At 49.9% G+C, this 20,805-nt stretch overlaps 1 protein-coding gene and 1 long non-coding RNA gene across 21 annotated transcripts in view, besides 1 other annotated feature; one reads left to right on the top strand and one right to left on the bottom strand.

Annotated features, from left to right (window-relative positions):
• Nucleotides 1-20,805, bottom strand: part of KATNIP (katanin interacting protein) — a 230,201-nt gene that overhangs the window by 15,388 nt on the left and 194,008 nt on the right. For 18 of the 20 annotated variants that reach the window (XM_005255201.4, XM_005255202.4, XM_011545775.3 and 15 more), the window contains 4 exons: nucleotides 14,651-15,373; nucleotides 13,033-13,238; nucleotides 10,706-10,784; nucleotides 3,367-3,544 (listed from right to left, as the gene is read on the bottom strand). In XM_005255201.4, coding sequence (XP_005255258.1) covers nucleotides 3,367-3,544; nucleotides 10,706-10,784; nucleotides 13,033-13,238; nucleotides 14,651-15,373 — 1,186 coding nt within the window. Of the gene's footprint in view, nucleotides 1-3,366; nucleotides 3,545-10,705; nucleotides 10,785-13,032; nucleotides 13,239-14,650; nucleotides 15,374-20,805 lie in introns of those variants that run through there. The other 2 variants (XM_005255206.4, XM_047433846.1) reach the window with 1 other exon arrangement.
• Nucleotides 4,892-4,951: an enhancer, noted in NCBI's record as "active region_10635". NCBI's record gives its function as "activates an Ori minimal core promoter by ATAC-STARR-seq in GM12878 lymphoblastoid cells {active_cell/tissue: GM12878}" and the evidence as "EXISTENCE:reporter gene assay evidence [ECO:0000049][PMID:35858748]".
• Nucleotides 17,067-18,641, top strand: LOC105371157 (uncharacterized). Its single transcript, XR_950957.3, has 3 exons — nucleotides 17,067-17,170; nucleotides 17,459-17,594; nucleotides 18,567-18,641. It is a non-coding gene; the product is annotated as an uncharacterized LOC105371157 (long non-coding RNA).

The raw sequence follows: 20,805 nt of genomic DNA, 5'->3' as shown, positions 1-20,805 counted from the left end.
AAGGAGGCAATGTTTCTTTGTTCCCTAAAAGGCTGTTATTAAATTGATGGATGGTGTGTCTGACAATTGCTGGCATCTTAAAACTGAGGAAATTCAGCAATTCCACACTGGAGTGTCTGTGGAACTAAGCTGACTGAGGATGACCACTAGAGAACCTTCTATTTCCTTCTAAAGGCAATTATGTTTCTGTCCTAGAAATGGGGCTGCTCCATAGCAAACCTGCCCAATTCTGAGAGCAGAGAGAACTGCTGGAGCATTTGTAGCCGACAGTGAAAGGAAGACTCCACAGACACTCTCAAGAACATCTAAATGAATTCCTAGCTCTATCCATAAAAAAGCCTAGAAACAGCAACGGACCAAGTAGCAGTGAGCATCCCTAGTGGCCAGATTATGGTCTCTAAATACCATTACCCACTAAAAGGAACCAGGGCTTCTTGGAGAAATGGCTGATGCCAGGTCTGGGACAAGAAATAAACCAGATGAGCCTGAAGCATCTGTCACATCAGAAGGCAAGAAAGGTGACCGTTTAAAAGGATTCAGGACTTCCCAGCATCCAAGAGGGAATGATTTAAACATCAATCAGGATAAACACTGCAAAGAATTGACTCTTCAAATGCAGTACTGTATGTTTAAAATCCATGAGTTCATAATAATCCCTAAAAAGAAACACACGTTTTAGACGATGCTAGAGAAACAGTTATTTGGAAAGCCAAAAAGAAAAGGAGGGGAGAGAATCCAACACTTAGGCTGCCTTTCCCATCTGAATTTCACCACAGAGTAGCCAAATAATTGAGGGAAATTCTCTCTTTATTGCAGTTATTTCAGCAAATAAATTTAAAAAAGAATAGTAGGTGAAAATACCACCATTTTTCAACCCCTAATGAATTAATGGACTTCGCCAGCATGACTGGCTTCCAACATCACAAAGAGCCTGGCAACCAGACATTCTATTCTGTATGTCCCCAGGGCCATCTTGCCCTAGTAGTCAAACCTCAATCTGATCAGGCCTCTAGATCTAATTAACAATGTACTAGAAATACAGGGGAGCAAGGAGCAGACTAAACAATACCATAGAGATGCAGCCAGTAAAATTCAGGTCCACCTGGTTTCTTCAACAGGTAATTTACAAGAAAAAAATGGAAAAAGGGGAAAGAGAACCTAGAGAGGCTTAAGAGACATAGCAACCAATCACAACACATAGACCTTATCTGGATCTCAAATCAAATGAGCAAACTGTTAAAAAGGGTGGGTGTGGGGACTATGAATCTGCTAGATATCTGGTAATTTAAGAAATCATTGTTAACTTTTTCTTTCTTTCTTTTTTTTTTTTTTTTTTTGTGTTGAGACAGGGTCCCGCTCTGTTGCCCAGGCTGGAATGTAGTGGCACAATCACGGCTCACTGCAGCCTTGAACTCCTGGGCTCAAGTGATCCTCCCACCTCAGCATCTGAGTAGCTGGTACTACAAGCACATGCCACAATGCCTGGCTATTTTTTTTTTTTTTTTTTTTTTTTTTAGAGACACAATCTCACTATGTTGCCCAGGCTGGTCTTGAATTCCTGGGCTCAAGCAATCCTTCTACCTCAGCCTCCCAAGTAGCTGGGACTACAGGGACATGCCACAGTACCTGGCTACTTTTTTTTATTTATTTTTTATTTTTTATTTTTTTTTGTAGAGACATAGTCTCACTATGTTGCCCAGGCTGGTCTTGAATTCCTGGACTCAAGTGATCCTCCTACCTCAGCCTCCCAAGGAGCTGGGACCACAGACATGTGCCACAGTGCCTGGCTAATTTTTTTTTTCTTTTGTAGAGACACATTCTCACTGTTACCCAGGCTGGTCTCGAATTCCTGGGCTCAAGTGATCCTTCTATCTTGGCCTCCCAATGCTGGGATTATGGGCATGAGCCACTGCGCACAGGCAACTTTTTCAAGTATAACAATGGTACCAGGATTATGTTTTCTCTTAAATCCCTTATTGTTTAGAGGTATACACTGAAATACTGACAGAGGAAATGCTATCAGGCCTGGGATTTGCCAACAGATAATCTGGCAGGTGGGTGGTGAGTGGGTGGGAAGGATCCATAAGCCGCACTGTGCGTTGATCACTTTTCCAGCTGACTGGGAGCCAGGTCTCCAGGCTCCAAGCCTAAATACTCAGGAGAGTGACTTGCCAGGATGTTGGGGGTGGTCAGAGGGGCCCATGAGCAGTTAATGATAGCAGGGGGTGAGGCCACGGTTCAGGGCCACCTTATAGAAAAGCAGGGAGAAGCCTGCCACCAACTCTGCATGAGCTCAGCACCAGGCCAAGGGATGTGGCTGCAATGTGACATGCCATGGGAATGACTCCTCATTCTACTGATAAGGAAACCAAGGCAGGGGAGACAGTATAACTTAGTGGTTAAGTGAGTGGATGGTAGGTATGCCACAGGCCTGCGTTCCAATCATGACTCTGCCACTGCACTAGTCTAGGTGGCCTCTGCATATTTCAGTCTCCACATCGGTATAGTAGGGCTCATAATGGTCCCTTCCTCAAAGGGCTGTTTGAGGCTTCAATGGATGAACATGTGTCACCTGCTTCGCATAGCCCAGTGCCTGGCATTTAATAAGTGCTCAAAAACTGGCAGTCATATGATCAGTTATTATTATTAGCATTGCTGTTATTATTGAAGAGGTTAAGAAAGTTACCTAATAGTTGGCATGGGGCAGAGGCGGGATTTGAACTCCCATCCCTCTGACTCCCCTAGTTCACACCTCTAAGCAGCGCCCAGACCCTCTGGCTGTGCAGGGCAGGGGAACTGAGTGCTGGTCTGTGGGCTGCAGGTCCATGTGGATCAATGCTGTATTTGAGGCTTCCCCACCTACTGACTTGACGCAACCTTGGCTTATGAAATCTGACAAGTGCAGGGGAAAGTGCAGCCACCACCGCCTGTGGAGGCTTCCTGAGCCATCACCTCTAACCTCAAGGAGGGGAGAGGGAGCTTTCAGCCCCCGGGAGGCCTGGGTCATTCATGTGTAAACTCTGAACCATCCACTGCAAAGGTTTACAGACAGCTACTGTGTGCGAGACGCTCTGCTAAGCACAGAGAAGAAAATGCAGACCATGGCTGTGTCTGGAAGCATGGGAACCCGCCTTCAAATCCCGCCTGACACTTCCAGCTGTGTGGCCCTGGAGAATCACCTCCCACCTCTCTTTCCTGAGCCTTGGTTTCCTGAGCCTCGGTTTCCCTTGACCACATTACCTCACAGGGTGGCCAGGGGAGGGACATATGCGATTCTATTTGATGTCTGAATCTGAAGTCTCAGAGGCAGAACAATGTCCCCAAAACCCAGTGGGCATGAAAGTAAAGCTTCTGATAGACACTTACTTGTCCAGGGCCCGGGAGTCGTCAGAGTACTCGGGGAGCTCATTTAAGTCTCTGGGGGAAGCAGAGATCTGGTGCAGGTGGATGGGCAGCGCCTGGCCCTCCTTGCCCACCACTTCCAGGCCAGTGAGCCCCAGGTAGTGCAAGTCTCCCCAGGAGGCAGTGAAATTCAGCTGAAGGCCTGCAACAGGAAGAGAAGTGGCCCATTAGCACCAGAGGCTCCAGAGGAGGCATCTAAAATGAAGACAGGAAGAGGAATGCTATTCGGCCTCTATATTCTAGCAACTTCAACCCAGACCCAAAGTGCCTTGCAGGTGGGCTCTGTGGCTTTCCTCTAGGTGGCCTTGGGCCCAGGCCACTGTCAGTGCTCAGGAAACAACGGTAAGCTGCATGGGCGAGGGTTAAACCTGCACATAGCCCTGAGTCCTTCCTCCGCCTACCAGATTGTGCTGTCCCACCCGACACTGAACATCCTTGGTGGCTTCCCATGCTTTCTGGCCAACAACGCATTCCCCATCAGACTTCTATCTACTTCTCTGACCTCACTGTGCACCAGGGACCCTAGGCCCCACCCAGGCTGTCTTTCAGTTTCTCGTATTTATATTCCTCTCTCTCCAACCACAGGGCCTTTGAATGTGCTGTCACCCCTCCCTAGAATTCACATGGCCTGGTTGACTTGTGAGCACCCTTCAGATCCCAGCTCCCTTCCTCAGAGAAGCCCTCCTGAGTTCTTTGACCAGGTCAAACCTCCATTGATAACCTGCCATGCCACTGTACACTTCCCTTTCCAAGCCCTGGTCACTGCTGTAATCGCGTGATCTTGGTAAATACCCACTTGCCCCGCCAGATGCCTAACTCCTTGAGGGAGAAACCCCATCTGTTTCTCTAAACCACTGTGTCCTGAGCCTGGCATGGTGCCTGGCACACAGTAGGAGCTCAGTACAGATGGAATGATTAAACCAGCAACTACATGGAGACTTGTATCAGTAAGCCCCAGCGCTGGAAACTGACATTTTATGCAAATTGGCTGCTATCACAAACATTCACGTGGGCTCAGAGTAAAGGAAGTGACCTAGGGTGATACCGCCATCCTTTTGCCTCTGCTCCCATCCTCTCTCGATCAGAGACCATTTAGAAGTGACCTTCTGTGGCCCTGGGGCAAAACAGCCCAGATGTCATTCATTTGCCCAGGAAACTCAAATGGAATGAATCTCTTGATCAAGCCCTGTCAGATAATTGGCTGGAACGTCTCTTTCCTTAACGGTGTCTCATTAGAGCAAGACCAAACACAATAAACCCTTCTGCCCTTAGAGAATTTGCCGCATATTTTAGCACCCTTTTGGGTAGCTAAGTGTAAGACTCACTCTTTGCAGCGTTCACAGAAATGCCAGCACCACAGAGCAGGCAGAAGGAAGCAGGGTGTCATCTGGCACCACCCCCTTGCAGCTCAGATGAGGAACTGGAAGCCCAGAGAGGTGAAAGGACTTCTTTGTGGCCATGAAGAGGGGCTGGGTCACCTGACCTCCCTGGAGCTTGGTTTTCTCTCCCACGCCCCTGACATCTCCCAACATACTTTTTGTAACTTAGCCCTCAGATCCTTTTCCTCCTTCGTGGTGCCAAGGTAACTCTGAGCATCTCTGGGGCAGATGAAAAAAACATGTGGCCAGCACGGCACCCTGCACATGGGCTTCTCGCCGCATCATTCACGTGCAAAGTGGCTACAAGCTCGTCCCATCCCGTGTCCCTGCTGTTGCAATGTGATTTTGCCCCTCATCCCATCCAGAGTTGGAGTTTCCTTCTCTGCTCCTGACTCTGGGTCACGTGATTTGCTTTGAACACTGGGACAGAAGCCCACGTGAGGCAAGCAGAGCCTGTAAAGCACTCGGGGCTTGAGACTGCCATGCGAGGCAGCCCAGCTAACCCAGACACCTGTCTCTCTGGCCAGCAGCCTCCCCACTGCCAGACGGGTGGGTGAAGATGTCCTAGGTCATTCAGCTGCTGGTCCACCTCCCTGCTGATCAGGAACTCGAGCAGGCCCAGTAGAGGCCAACCAAGCTGGCTCACCCAGAGCTGCCCAGCCAAGATACTGAATTACCAGTCAGTCATGAATATAATTCATGGTAGTTGTGTTAAGCCAGTGGATTTTGGATTGGCTTGTTCGGCAGCAAAAGCTAGCTGACACATTCCTTCTCAGCATGAGTCAGTGTTCCAATGTCATTTCCTGAGAGGCCTTCCCTAATAACCAGAGCTCAAACAGCCCTGCTCACCCCATCACTCTCTACATCCTTACCCTGCTCGCCTTGTTGTTTATAGCACTGAATGCTTCCTGACAATCGAGTCTACATTGATTTGCTTATTTGTCTCCATCAGTCTCCCCCACTAAGACGGAAGTTCCCTGAGGCCAGGACTCTGCTGGTTTTGTTCACTGCTGTATCCCCGGAGCCCAGAACAGTGCTTAGTAGATGTTCAATGAATGTTTTTAGTAAAAATTTTAAACACATGACTAATTAACAAGTAGGGCTTCAGTAGATATCTGCAAGTAAATGAGACAAACGAAAACTATTGGGTTTTACCAACTTCACAGTCAACAGTCAACGAATATTTATTGGTCATCTACTGTGTACCAGAACCTATTTTTGGCATAAGAGCTGCAGGAATGAACAACAGAGCACAATCTCTGAACTCAAGAAGCTTGCATTCTAGCAAAGACTGTCAATAAGCACATAATGAACAAAGAAAGGCAACAGTTCCAAGAGTGATGAACACTATGAAAGAAAATAGCAACAGGATAGGGAGTGACTGAATATGAGCAGAGGTGGTCAGGGAGGGCCTCCCTGAGGAGGTGACATTTGAGCTGAGACCAGGGTGCTGAGAAGGAACCTATCATGTTTTTGCATTTCTGGAAGAAGAACATTCCAGGCTGAGAGGAGAGCAAATTTGACCCATAGGTGGAACCAAGCGGCCAAGGGAGAGAGTAGAAGAAAATGAAATCAGACAGGTAGGCAGGGGCTAGATCATATCGAGAAGCCTGGATTTTCCTCTCTTTGCAATGGGAAGCTACTGGCAGATTCTATGTTGAAGCAGGGGAGCAACATGATCTGATCTGCATCTTATAAAGCTCCCATCAGTTGGATTTTATAGGGAGACCAGGGAGGAAGCTGTTGCAGTAAGGATGGCTTGAACAAGGCTGGTGGCAATGAAAATAGGGTTGAAGGGGACAGATACAGGATCTGTTTCAGAGATAGCACTACCAGGATTCTCAATGGTCTGGATACAGAAGGAAGGGGAAAAAAAGTTTTGACCTAGGTGACAGAGGAACTGTGGCACCACTCCTGAGACAGAAGGGCCACAGGTGGAGGAGGATGTGGATTTGGATGATGGAGATCAGTGCGAGGGAGAAATGCCACCTCCCTCTGTGACAACAAAGAGATGCCCAGTCTCTCCCAAGCCTACAATCTCTTTGTTTGCCTGGCAAGCTGCACTGCGATTCCATCTAATTTGGGGCTGTTCTGAAATTGATTACTCTCCTTTTCGAGCTAATATCCAACATTCCATATTCATTTTCCTCTGGTGTATCAATTAGTATTTATACAAATGGAAATTAATTTTGTTATTTCTCCCCCATGTTTCAACCCTCTCAGCTCCTTTCTTATTCATCACTGCTGATATTTGCAAAACTTCCAAAATTAGTGTCATCTGCAAATTAGCAAGTCATATATCCCCTTTCAAAACATTAATAGGATTGGCCGTATTTACCAACCCCGACACATTCCCCCCGGGTCACTTTATTAAAGCTCTCTCTGTGCTCCGCTCTTGCACGGAGTGGTGAAGCAGGTTGAGGATTTTGAATACGGTGAGGAAAAAGCCAAAGGTTCAGAGAGAAGAGATGCAGAAATCACAGGCCTCAAAACAGACGCAGAGGGTGCTTGGTTGAGAGGCTCTTCTGCCTTCCTACTGAGAAGAGAAGAGAAATTACACTTGCCTTGCAGTAAAAAGGTCTTTGAGCTCTACTCCAGGGCCAAATTCCCAAAGGCACTGAAATAACATCTCTGTGAAAGGTCAGGAGCTGGGTCAGCAGGAAACACATCTACAGGCAGCATCTTTGGGGAAATCATCAGATGAAGGGGACAGTGGCTGCTTCTGCCTGGCCAGCATTCCTGCCTTCCTTCTGGTGACCACACTCTGACCCGCTCTGGAGAACCACCCTGTGCTCGGTCCACACTGTTTGGGTGGCTGACCCCTTTCTCTGGGCTCCAGGCCTGGCCAATCTGTTTTCCATCTCCCACCTCCCGCCCTACCCACCATGGTGAGTCACAGTGGCTGACTTAAGGATGGACATATGAATTAGCCGGGCACGGTGGCACACCTACAGTCCCAGCTACTCGGGAGGCTGAGGCGGGAGGATCTCGTGAGCCCAGGAGTATGAGGCTGCAGTGAGCTGTGTTTGCACTACTGCACTCTAGCCTGGGCCACAGAGTGAGACCCTGTCTCAAAACAACAATAACAGCAAGCAAAGAAAATAACAAAAAAGAGAATGGGTACATGACTCAAGCTAGGCCCAGAGATCTAATTCTGGGATAGTAGTTGCAACTATTGGGATTCAGGAAAACAGAAGTTGTCTTTCATCTGGGACTGCTGGGTAGAAAGGAGGCATAAACTGGAGCTTCCAGGACTTTCCACATGGATGGTGTTGAATGGGAGAATGTCAAGAGACGAAAAGAAAGCAGGGAGAGGGAGGCAGACACCATGTCTTGATGCCATCATTTTCGTAACTGAACGCAGCTGTGTGGAAACTGACGACCCCTAACTTCTAGTTGCATAAGCCAATAAGTTCCCTTTTTTGCTGAACTCAGCTTGAATTAAATTTCCATTATTCATCCCCTGCCAAAAAAAAAATCCTGACCAACTTAGGGGAGAACCAAATTGAATAAAAAACGATGGCTGTCTTTTGGGACCTCACAGCTTCATGGGGGACACTGACTCTTGCACACAGGCTTCTGATGTGAGGTGCTCTCCCAGTGGCAACCCTAAGGCAATCTGCTAGTGTGGTGAGGATGTGGGCTTTGGATTCAAACACCTTTGCTTGCACTCCCAGCTTCCGTACTGGCCGTGTGACCTTAGGTAGGTGACTCCATCTCTCTGAGCCTCAGCTGCCTGATCTCATGGAAAACAGAGCTAGGAGTGTTACAGCGAGATAAGGCAGAGAAAGCCCAGCACAGTGCCTGTCTGGGAGATGAAACCAAGCCTCAACCCAGGCTCTTGCCTAATGTTAGGTTGGCCTTTAAAACTGCTGCTATTCGAAAGTAATTGAGAGTGCGCCCTGGAATGTAAGGGGCTATGAGAATTCCAAATAAGGCACCTTCCTCTAAGGCACCTTCTAAGAGATCATTGGTCATTTTGGAGTAGGTGAAGGAGAGATGAATTTTCACAGGGGATGATAGAGAAGACTCCTGGGGAGGAGATGCGGTCGCAGAAGGGCCATAAGGGAGGGGATGTGGAGCTCACTTAGGGCACTGCTCAGACCCCACCTCCCACCCCCAGGAACAGAAGGACTTAGTCCTCTGGTGGCGGGAAGTGCTGACGGCTGGCAGCTCACCACTGAGGCTCTTGACTTGTGACTGCCCTTGGCTGAAGAGAGTCTCCTTGCAAAAAGCCATGTCCGGCTGGGCACAGTGGCTCATGCCTGTAATCTCAGCACTTTGGGAGGCCAAGGTGTGTGGATCACCTGAGGTCAGGAGTTCGAGACCAGCCTGACCAACATGGTGAAACCCTGTCTCTATTAAAATTACAAAAATTAGCCGGGCGTGGTGGTGGGCACCAGTAATCCCAGCTACTTGGGAGGCTGAGGCAGGAGCTCTCTTGAACCTGGGAGGCGGAGGTTGCAGTGAGCTGAGATCATGCCACTGCATTCCAGCCTGAGCGACAGAGTAAAACTGTGTCAAAATAAATAAATACAAATTAAAAAGTAAAATAAAAAGCCATGCCCCTCCCCAGGGGCAGCCCATAGCCAGTGCCATGTTGATACAGATAAAGACATGGCCCCTCACTCAACTCAGGATGACCCCAAAGGGCCATCCCAGGTTCCGAGCTCCCTGTGGAGCAGGCTGAGGCCTTGAAGTGGCTGAACCGCAGACCAGCTTCTCCCTCTGCCCAATCCTGCCTCCTACCCTTCCCTGACAAGAGCACACCCCAGGAAACTCCATCTCAGGGTCTGTGTCTAGGGAACCTAGCCAGCGACAGGTGGTCGTCAGAAGGCAGAGATGGAGCAGGGAGGCATCCTAGGTGGAAGGTGTGGCTTGCACAGGTGCCTGCAGGTGGACTCCAGAGATGGCATGGGGAGGTCCCGGAAGGGCTGACACCAGGATTCGGAGAGGCTCCAGCTTCATTTTGGAGATGAGGATGGGGAGGTGGGGAGGGGATCCTGACAGTGTCACATCTTTTGTCTCAGAAGATAAAGTAGAAGCGGGTCACATTCACAGGGGGCAGGAGAGAGCAGGAAGTGAGGCTGCCAGGAACCTGGTTAGCAGGGTGCAGGAGGGAGGAGATCACAATCAGCAGTGACCTTGGGCTTGAAGATTCCCCAGGACGGGGAGGGGCTGATGTGGACACGCATGGATGAAGAGAGGAACTGGCTGGAAGGATCAATGGAAAAGAAGGGTGAGGAACAGGCCCAGCAGAAAACCCCTGGGATTTGCTCAGAAGTCACAAACTGGCAGCCAGCTGGCCAGATACACAATAAGTGTTTTATTTGGCTCATGTGATATTTTAAAACATGAGAAAATTCGTTACACACATTTGAGAATCTGGAGACTTCACGTAAGACTCTAGATTTCCGACTTCTTCTGAAAAGTCAGAAGACCTGGTACCCTGGGCCTGTGCACCTGCCCCCACCCCCGGGGCAGAGTGGATGCAGGTTTTCTCTGCCTGTGCATCTACTCTTTGGTGGAGTTGGAAGAGACAGCTCGGGGCACTGCACCAACAGATGCCTTGGGTCTCTTCAGGCTCTAATGTCCTCTTGTTCTACACTTTCTGGGTGCCAACTACACCTCCTGGGTCAGGGTCATGGTCACAGCTAACACATAGGGTGTCTGCATGCAAAAATGCCCCTCAGGGAAGGCAAAATGCTAAGAGATGCCCCTCCTCTGGAGTGAGGTGGCCCTGCTAGGGCCAGGGAGCTGAGCGCAGGCTGGTTTCAGCCTCCACTTGCCCCATGGCCTGGTGTCTCTGTACAGTGTCCAACCCACCCGATTGTCCAGCGAAACCCTGTCCCAAGTGGCCACAACTCCCCCTGTCCCTGGAAGGTCCTCCTTCCACCCAACACTGCTCCAGGAGAGCTACTCACAGATTCCGTGGTAGATGCCTGGCTCTGGCGTGGTGACTTGGGGGACAGGGGAACTGGATGGGAGCTCTAGCTCCGGGATCTGCACATGGGTTGGAGAAGCAGAGGAAAAGGGGGTGGTTTTAGTGATACCCACACAGCTAGCTGGCTGGCTGTTTCTGCATTTACCACTGCCCACCCTATGCCCAGGTAAGTCCTTGTGTGTTTTCCTGGATTTTTCTGCCTTTGTGGAAGCTATGGGACCAGTGATATGGGCGGACCCTGACCCTCCAGGGTCTGCATCCTTGTCAGCAGCTCTCACTGGCTGGGGAGGAGCCTGATGCTAACAGCTAAGGTGTTTAAATTTCCTCCAACAGGGAAGGACTCAATAAATGCTTATGTGGTGAGCTAGAGGAAGAAAGAAAGGAAGGAAGGAAAGGAGGAGGAAGGGAAGAAGAGAAGGAAGGGAGAGAGGAAGGAAGGAAGGAAGGAGGAAAGGAAGGAGGGAAGGAGGAAAAGAAGGAAGGAGGGAGGGAGGGAGGGAAGGAAGGAAGGAAGGAAGGGGAAGTGGAAGAATTCAAACCATAGAGAGTGGCTCTTAACTTTGGCTGTTCACTGAAGCAGAATCTCTAGGGGTGGGGCCCAGACATTTTTAAAGATCCACCCAAGTGATTTCCACGGGTAGCCAGGATAAAAAATCCTGGTCTTCAGAGAGTCAACGGTGGGCCACCACACCCTTCTTGGGCCTTACATATAAACTATTTGCTCATTGTCTCTTTGCACCATAAGTGAAGGCGCTGGTCTCTCACGAGACTGAGAGAGTGATCCCCCCAGCCCCTCACAGCGCTGGGCCCATCAGAGTCCCTTACGAGCACCTTTGTCATTTGGAAAACGCTGGGCAAATGGAAGCGCCCAGGGTAGACTCCCACCTGGAGACCCCTGGGTCGAATCAGGAGCACAGGCACGGCTTGTGGCCCAAAAAAGGTTTGAACACATCTGAATTCACTGCCAGCATTTTTAAATGGAGAGGTTTTACAGAAAAATCCAGCTTTCTGGCTTCTCTTGTAAAAATCAGGAGAACTGGCAACAATGGGCTTGCCCCTCTTGGTGGCCGCTTTCCTTAGATGTGGGGAGGGGGAGGGGCACGCACTCCCCAGCTGCCTGTGCCTCCCCATGCCCTGCTCCTGCACCCCATGCTCTGCCTGGCTGCGAGGTACAATCCCCAGGGAACACCATGGGGTCCACACGACATGTTGCTGTCCTGCCTCAGTCATGACCTTCCCACAGCCCAGCCCCATCCCTTGTGGCTTGTGTTGTCCCCATTTCTCCCCTACCCTGTTTAACCATCTCCTCTTTTTCCTATTGGTCCTGACTTGAATTGACCTTGAAGGTCATCTTTCATTTTAAAAGATTTGTTTATCTGGCTAAGTGTGGCGGCTCTTGCCTGTAATCCCAGCACTTTGGGAGGCCAAGGTGGGAGAAGCGCTTGAGTCCAGGAGTTCATGACCAACCTGGGCAACATAGCAAGACCACATCTCTACAAAAAATAAAAAAAAAACTAGCCAGGCATGGTGGCATGCACTGTAGTCTCAGCTACTCAGGAGGCTGAGGTGGTAGGATTGCTTGAGCCCCGGGAGTTTGAGCTGCAATGAGCTATGATCACGCTAGTGTACTCCAGCCTGGGCGACAGTGCCAGGCCCTATCTCTAAACAAAATAAAAAAATAATAAGTTGCTTACCAATTAAAAGCATAAACTGTGGAATCACGCATTCAAGTTCTACCCTTGTTTCTCTGTCACAATGTGCCCTTGGGCAAGTCACTTGACTTCTCTGAGCATCAGTTTCCGAAATGGCAATGTTAATAGTCTCTACTCAGAGGGTTGTCATGAGGGTGAAACAAGAACACTGTGTACCCTGCTTGGATCATGATATGTGTTCATGAAACCATGGCTGTGATGATCATTATTTTAACTGTAACTCTGCCTATGAAAAGCATTCCTAGTCCTTCCATCAAAAACAACAGTGAATGATCAAAACGCAACCCCAAGCAAAAACTCCCCCCAGACTGCCAACCTCTGAATTGCAGAGATGACACAGAGCTCATTTCTCCTGGCTTTGATTAGAATTTGAATACTTTCTTTACTTCGGTTAAAAAAAAATAAAAAAATAAAAATAATTAGAGAATGAAATATGACATAGAGGACAAAAAAACAAAGTAGAAAGATGGGAAATGTCAACACAGTGGCACCAGCAGCTTAAAGGATATCCATCTTAATTCTCCCTGCTCTACTCTGAGTTAGGGGAAGAAACCTATCTGGGGGTCCCCCCACAGCCCCCCAGCTCCAGTCCTACCCGTTCATCAGCCCCCAAGCCAGCCTGGGTGAAGGGCCGCTCATCCCCCTCGCCGTCGGCCGTGCTGGGCCTCCTCATTGCCTCTTCATCCTGCAGGCTGTCCAGGCTCCCCACATCCAGGTCAAACATCTCATCAGAATAGAATATGGCCTCGAGAATGTCATCATCGGTTGTGAATAAGATCGTGTCTCCAAAGTGCTCTGGGGCTAATGGGTTATCAAGATGACAGAAAGGTCAACTCACTTCACATCCCAGAGATTTGTAGATCAAGAGCCTAAACCCATCCACTTCTGTGCTGTACAACCCCACACCCTTAACTGGTATTGATTAGTGTGAGCCTTATTAGTCTTCACAGATTTGCAAATGGAATGCACGGACCATAAGCATCACATGGATCTAAGGAAGGGATCTAATTTCATGAGAATCACTGTGATATGTCATCAGGCAAGTGACATTTCTTTGGGGTGGGCAAGGCACTATGCAAGACGCTGTTGGTACCCCACCCAGATCTTGGTGGATCCTTTTCTCAGAGTGCCTTGCCTGGAAGGGTGTGGGAGTTACAGCTCCAACCCGGCAAGCCTTGGTTCCAATGACTGCCTGGTAGGTGGGGTTCTAACGCCCTGCTCCTTCACCTTCAGGCAGGAAAGACCTGAAATTTATGTTCCAGACCTCCCTCAAGATCTGGTTGTGGCTGGGCTTCCTGGAAACTATATCCTTGCTTCACTATGCCAGGTTTCTCCTAGGAGCACTCCCTCCATAAGTCACTTGCCAAAGAATGCCCCATCTCAGACTCAGGTTCTAGGGGCCGGACCAAGACAGGTGCTTTATGGGAGATGCTGAATGAGGTCAGGCCTAGCACACTCATGCTGTAAGAGGGGATGAGTGGACCGGGTCTGTGGCTGGGTGCAGGGGCTCATGCCTGTAATCCTAGCACTTTGGGAGGCCAAGGTGGGTGGATCACTTGAGCCCAGGAGTTCGAGACCAGCCTGGGTAACATGGTGAAACCTCGTCTCTACAAAAAATACAAAAATTAGCCAGGTGGGTTGGTGCACCTGTAGTCCCAGCTACTTAGGAGGCTGATGTGGGAGGATTGCTTGAGCCCAGGAGGTCGAAGCTGCAGTGAGCCGAAACCATGCCACTGTGCAGGGCAAGATCCTGTCTCCCCACCCAAAAAAAAAAAAAAAAAAAAAAAGGGCTGGGCGCGGTGGCTCACGCCTGTAATTCCAACACTTTGGGAGGCCGAGACGGGCAGATCATGAGGTCAGGAGATCGAGACCATCCTGGCTAACATGGTGAAACCCTGTCTCTACTAAAAAAAAAAAAAAAAAATACAAAAAATTAGCCGGGCGTGTTGGCGGGTGCCTGTAGTCCCAGCTACTCGTGAGGCTGAGGCAGGAGAATGGCGTGAACCCGGGAGGCGGATCTTGCAGTGAGCCAAGATCGCGCCACTGCACTCCAGCCTGGGGGACAGAGCAAGACTCCGTCTCAAAAAAAAAAAAAAAAAAGAAAGAGAAAGGACTGATCTGTTGTTGGCTAGCCAGCTGGTCTGTTTTTTCCCATAGACTCTCAGCAAGTCACAGATAGGGGCTCTGAGAAAATTCTTACAGACACGCCATACCTCCCGCCAGGGTTCCAGAGGCCTTGGCGATTTCTCCTTCAAAGATGCACTGGGTGTCTAACAGCATTGTGATGTCCTTCACGCCTCGGAAGGAATGTATCCGAGATTTATTGTAGTTCCAAATTCTGATCAGGGCAACGTGGCAAGGGTGCGTGAAGTCAATGGTGATGGAGTGGGATCTGCCCCGCGTGAAGGGGGCCAGCCAGACATGCATGTCATCCTGGGTCCTGTTCACCCCGTCGATGAGGTTGGTGACCACGCGGGGGTCTTTCCCATAGGCTGGTAAAATATTGATATCGGGAGGGTCTGCTTTTATGTTTGAAATCTGCACCGGTTCACCCTTGGAACTGAATATTTCTATTCCGTTGAGGCCGACATAGTGTCTGTCCCCCCAGGTAGACTTGATGTCAATGACCAAGCGCTGTCCATAAGGCAAGACGGGGATTTTAAAGTCACCCCCAGCGTCTGTCTCTCCAGAGTAGCCATCCTGCCCTCTCGACAGCCCTGGCTGCTCCCCCTTCTTGGAGGGGGGCAAGTCGCTGTGCCGGCTGCTCTTTTGCTGCAGGAGCTCATCCAGGATGTCCCCCGGGAGCTCCGTGTTGGAGATGCGTCCCCGGTGGGAGCGGTCGAAGGCACTGAGGGAGCTCCATGACTCGTGAAGTGTGTGCTCCTGCTCACTGCGCCACCTTGACCGTGACGGCGTCCTGGAAGACCAGGTGTCTTCTGGAAGAAAGGACACAAGAGGGGGGAAGCCCTGTGAGTGGCATGTGTGGAAGTGGGGACCATTAGAGACTGTCTCCTGTGGTGGCTCTCAGTGAGGCAGGGCCACCTCCAGGGGAGCCCTCTAGAAACCAGCGGGGTTGTTCCCGGCTGTCTCCTTAGCCAAGAGGCCTCTTGGCACTGGATGGCTGGGGCCAGGCATGTTACCATCCTGCACTGCATGGGGGCCCTGGCACAGAGCTTGGTCTCCTGTCCCACACAGCTTCTGACTGTCCTGTGGGCCATTCAGGTCGGTAAAATAATTGTCTATGATCACCCAATTCCAGAATCTGGTTGTTTTTGCAAAAACACAAAGCATTTTTTCATAGACTGAATTTTCTAAGAATGCAATCATCGTGTGAACCAAGGGAAGACTACTTGGCTGTGTTAGAAACTTTGCCAGGAGTCGCTCCCCACTGTAGAAACTCACATGACCAGGGGCAATGCTGCTGCCTGAGGCGTCTGAGTCAGCCACAAGAGGGTGTGTGCTGGAGACTGTCACAGTCACGTGACTCTAACGGTGTTTTCAAAGACAATTTAATGGCAGGTGGAAGGTTTGTAAAAGAACGTTAAAAGGAAAAAGCCAGATACGCAGCTTTAAATGCAGCATATCCTGGTACGGGTGACATGCACCCGTGTTAACAGTGTTGTTCCTGGTTTCTGGGTGGGGAGCAGGAAGGACTTTTATTTTCTTCTTTGTAGCTTGATTTTTTTAAATTCCCTTCATGCATTACTTTTATTTTCTTTCTTTTTAATTTTTTTTAGAGACAGGGTCTCGCTCTGTTGCCCAGGCTGGAGTGCAGTGGTGTGATCAAAGCTCACTGCAACCTTGACCTCCTGGCCTCAAGCGATCCTCCCGCTTCAGCCCCCCGAGTACATGGGATTATACACATGACCACTGGGCCCAGCCTGTAATACTTTTATCATCAAGAAAAAAATGCTATTTGTTTATTTATTGAGACAGGGTCTCACTCTGTCACCCAGGCTGGAGTGCAGTGGCGTGATCATGGCTCACCATGGCCTTAACCTCCCAGGCTCAGGTGATCCTCCCACCTCAGCCTCCCGAGTTGCTGGGTCCACAGGTGTGCACCAACATGTTCGGCTAATTTTTATTTTTATTTTTTTGGTAGAGATGGGGTTTTGCCATGTTGCCCAGGCTGGTCTTGAACTCTGGGCTCAAGCGATTCGCCTGCCTCAGCTGGGCGAATCCCAGTGCTGGGATTACAGGCGTAAGCCACCGCGCCCAGCCAAAAATGCTATTTTAAAAAGCCATTAAGCCAGGTATATTATAAGGTAAGGAATTTACTTGCACACATGGCTAAAGCCTGTGTCCCAGGTGCGTGGAGAACACGGTCCCAGACTGATCTGAAGGCCCCACGCTCCTTATGGAACATGAGAGCCACGGCGTGCACACCACGCAGTGGCCTGTTCTCACAGCCACGCCATGGCTCACTGCCATCTAAGGGTGTCATCCTGCAAAAACAGCGGCTGCTGACACTGACATTCTGTTTTTCCTCCTTTCATATCGCACTGTGCCCTGTACTCCATTTCCTGCCTGTCTCCTAGGGGGCTCGGCTCCATCAATTATCTCCTCTCTCCAGAATCTCCAATCACTCCTTCCCCACTGGCACTTTCCCCTCTTTGCCTGCAGACATGCATAAATCTCTCCTACCTGGAAGAGAAGAAAGGAAGAAACAGGAAGGCGACCCGCTCCTGTGGCTCCCTCCAACCACAGCCCTATTTTCTCCCTGTTTCGCTCAGGTGCTCTGCCACCCCTCCCACCCCTCCCAGCCTCTCCCAAGCCCCTGCCACCCGGTGCCTCTTTCCAGTGGGATTGTTTTGCTCACTCAAACTCCACTTCCCCTTCCACTCAGATTTGGGGGATCCTTTGGGGACACCCCACCCCCCACCTTCCGGCCATCTAATTGGATCAATGCCGACAGTATCCTTCCAAGCTGGCCTCAAGGAGGGGCACTCTTTAAACTGGTGGTGCTGAAGCTGGAAGGATGTACATGTGGAATTGCCAAAGACTATCTTGCTACCCTATAGAGAGAACCTGCCTGAGAATGAAGCCAACACCGAGAACACGAGTCGAGAGATGGAGGATCCTGATGACAACCTCTGAACTCCTGGATCCAGCTGTGCCTAAAGTCAAACTCCTGGTGGCTTTCTGGCCTTTGCATCCGTAAGACTCCTACAATTCCCTAACCCGCCACTGAAATGCCTTCTCCAAGTGAACAATGACCTCCCAGTCTTTGTCAGTCTTCAGTCTATGTGTGACATCCCTGGCAAACCTCTTCCATTTGATACCTCCTGCTCCACTGGCTTAGGAGCCACTATACCTCCCTGGTTCTCTGCCTCTCCCACTGACAACTCTCTCCATCACCCCAGTCCTACCCTCAGTCTGGGGGTGTCCCAAGGCCCAGGCCGCTCCTCTCCTGACACTGCCATCCTTCCTTGCCCTCATTTAGCTCCTGGTTCCCAGGCAGGCCCTGCTTAACTTTACAGGTCAAGTTCTGCCGTCTCTTCCCTAGGCACCATCCTTCAATTCCAATGACCTCTTGGAAGGTCCAGACATGTCCACTCTGTCACTTCAGTCTCTATGTGCCTAAAATGGAATTTGTCATCAACCCCTCTAGCTGGCATTGTCTCTCCTGCACTGAGAATCAAGACAACCTGACTCTTACCATGCCCACAGCCCTGAGTACGGCCGCCACTGACTCCTGTCCCCTCCCCTCTGCGCTCCCCACCATGATCTTTCAGCTCCAGCCCCGCTGGCCCTCCTGCTCCCTGGACAGGCTGTCTCTTCTGGCCTCAGAGCCTTTGCCCTTGCTGCACCCCTGCCAGGAGTGCTCTTCCTCTGGAGGCCCACCTAGCTGGCTTTGCTTGTCACCCGCCTCCTTGGAGAGGCCTTCTCTGCCACTTTATCCTCGCTCCTGGAGGTGTCCCAGTGCGCAGCACAGCTCCTGGTGTGTGGAAATGCCAGTGAAGGGATGGACACTGGCACCACAATTGTGCAGCCCTCAGGATCAGGCCTAGAGGCCGAGGGACTCCCCCCTCCACCTGTCAGTTCCTCTGCCCCTGTCCTCTGCCCTCCCCCACTTCTCATCTGCCATTTAAAAAGATACCAGAGGTTTCTTCCATCCTCTCCCCTCAGGCACGAGGCTTAACATGTGGCAGAAGGAACTACCCAGATGGATTCTCGTGACTTCAGTTTATGTGATTTGATTTCCACTGACTAAAATGAATGGCCTGGGTTGGTCTGCAAGCGCACCAAGGAGACAGCACCGAATGTCACGTGTCAGGGATGCTGCCTGAGTGTGCGAGGCAGGCAGGGACTTTGCTTTCATTCTGCGTCTGCTTTCTAACCTATTCTCCCTGAGTTGTACACTCTGGGTTTAAAAGCAGAGGAGTAGATGGCCGGGCACGGTGGCTCACGCCTATAATCCCAGCACTTTTGGAGGCTGAGGTGGGTGGATCACTTGAACCCAGGAGGTGGAGGTTGCAGTGAACTGAAATTGTGCCACTGCACTCCAGCCTGGGTGACATAGCAAGACTCCATCTCAAAAAAAAAAAAAAAAAAAAAAAAAGCAGAGGAGTTGAGCCTTGCTCTTAGACCTCTTTGACATGAGAGCTGGCTGGGGGCCCACGGACCTCTCTGTCTGCAGACTCCATGGGAATTGGGGAATTGGGGAGCTGCTGGGATTAGTGCTCTGTCCTGTTGTCACCAACATTTCTACAATCTGCACAGACATCAGAAAGCCACTCCTTCAACCTGCAGTCAACACAATCTGGGAGGGCCCCCAGTGATGAGATGGTGCTATCAAAATTCCTGACATACTCCTAGATTGAGATGAATAGGACTATGGAGCTCTGAAGTTTGTCAAAATCAACTGCACTGCCATGAGGTATGTGGTAATTGCTACTAAAACAGGAAACGATGAAGTACTTAGAGGGATATCACAGAGCCATGTTTATTCCAGTGAATCACCCTTTGGCCATAACTGATTGGACAAGGAGTGGACACCTGACCCAAGTAGACCAATTGGCTTCTCCCCTGAGACTTTGGAATTGGTTGCAGGAACAAGAGCTGGGCATAGTCACTCCAGGGCTGTGAGGCCATTTCCTCACATTTCTGCTCATATGGCTGTGAGGCCGTGTGAGTAGCAGAGAAAGCTGATATCGTGAGGAAAGTGAGGGGAAGTGGACCCACAGAGAAGAAGAGGTAGGGCCCAGAAGAAATAGAAAGAAGCGTCCTTGGTTCCTGCCAACTTTCTGGTTCTTCCTTCCGGTCCCCTGTGATGAGTGGCTACACTCTCTACCTTTGGGGTCAAGGTGATCATTAAGGATTCTCCAAATAACATCCTCTTTACTGCTCAAACTGGACTGATGAGATCTCCTCCACCTGTAAACAACTGACCCCTGATGAAAATACTTCCAAAATGCAGATGGCATTCAACGAGATGCTCTGCTGAGCATAAGATTTCTCAGGCTTGCTCTTTCTCTCTTGCTCTCTTTTTTTAAAGAGATCGGATCCTGCTCTGTCTTGATTTTCATAAATTCCCTATATTACTTTGATTTTAATTAATTAAATTTATTTTCTTTTATTATTTATTTTATGATTTTATTTTCTGAGACAGAGTCTCATTCTGTCACCCAGGCTGGAGTGCAGTGGCGTGATCTTGGCTTACTCCAACCTCCACCTCCCGAGCTCAAGCGATTCTCATGCCTCAGCCTCCCGAGCTCAAGCGATTCTCATGCCTCAGCCTCCCGAGTAGCTGGGATTACAGGTGCGCACAAACATACCTGGCTAATTTTTGTATTTTTAGTAGAGACGGTGTTTTGCCACATTAATCAGGCTGGTCTCGAATTCTTGACCTCAGGTGATCTTCCCGTCTCAGCCTCCCAAAGTGCTGGGATTACAGGCAACAGCCACTGTGCCCAGCCCAATTTTCATTTTTTTAGAGACAGGGTCTCGCTCTGTCACCCAGGCTGGAGTGCCGTGGTGTGATCATGGCTGACTGCAGCCTTGAACTCCAGACTTGAACTGCAGATTTTGATTCACTTTAATTTCTTTTCAGGCATTTCAGTGCCTGGGTTCAAGTGATCCTCCTGCCTCAGCCTCCCGAATAGCTGGGACTACAGACACACACAACCACACCCAGCTATTTTTTTTAAAACTTTTGTAGAGATGGAGTCTTACTATATTGCCCACGCTGGTCTTGAACTCCTGGCCTCAAGAAATCTTCCCACCTTGGCCTCCCAAAGTGCTGGGTTTACAGGTGTGAGACAGTGCACCCACTACCCAGGCTCTCTCTTATACTGGCAACGAAATTCCAATCCCAGAATAGAACTTGGGCAGTCATTCATTCTACCAGCATTCTTGGTAGGCTGGC

The sequence above is a fragment of the Homo sapiens genome, chromosome 16 (genome assembly GCF_000001405.40).
Source record: "Homo sapiens chromosome 16, GRCh38.p14 Primary Assembly".
Taxonomy (NCBI): Eukaryota; Metazoa; Chordata; class Mammalia; order Primates; family Hominidae; genus Homo; species Homo sapiens.
The sequence above is the reverse complement of the archived record's forward strand: the minus strand, read 5'-3'. Positions and strand labels throughout refer to the sequence as shown.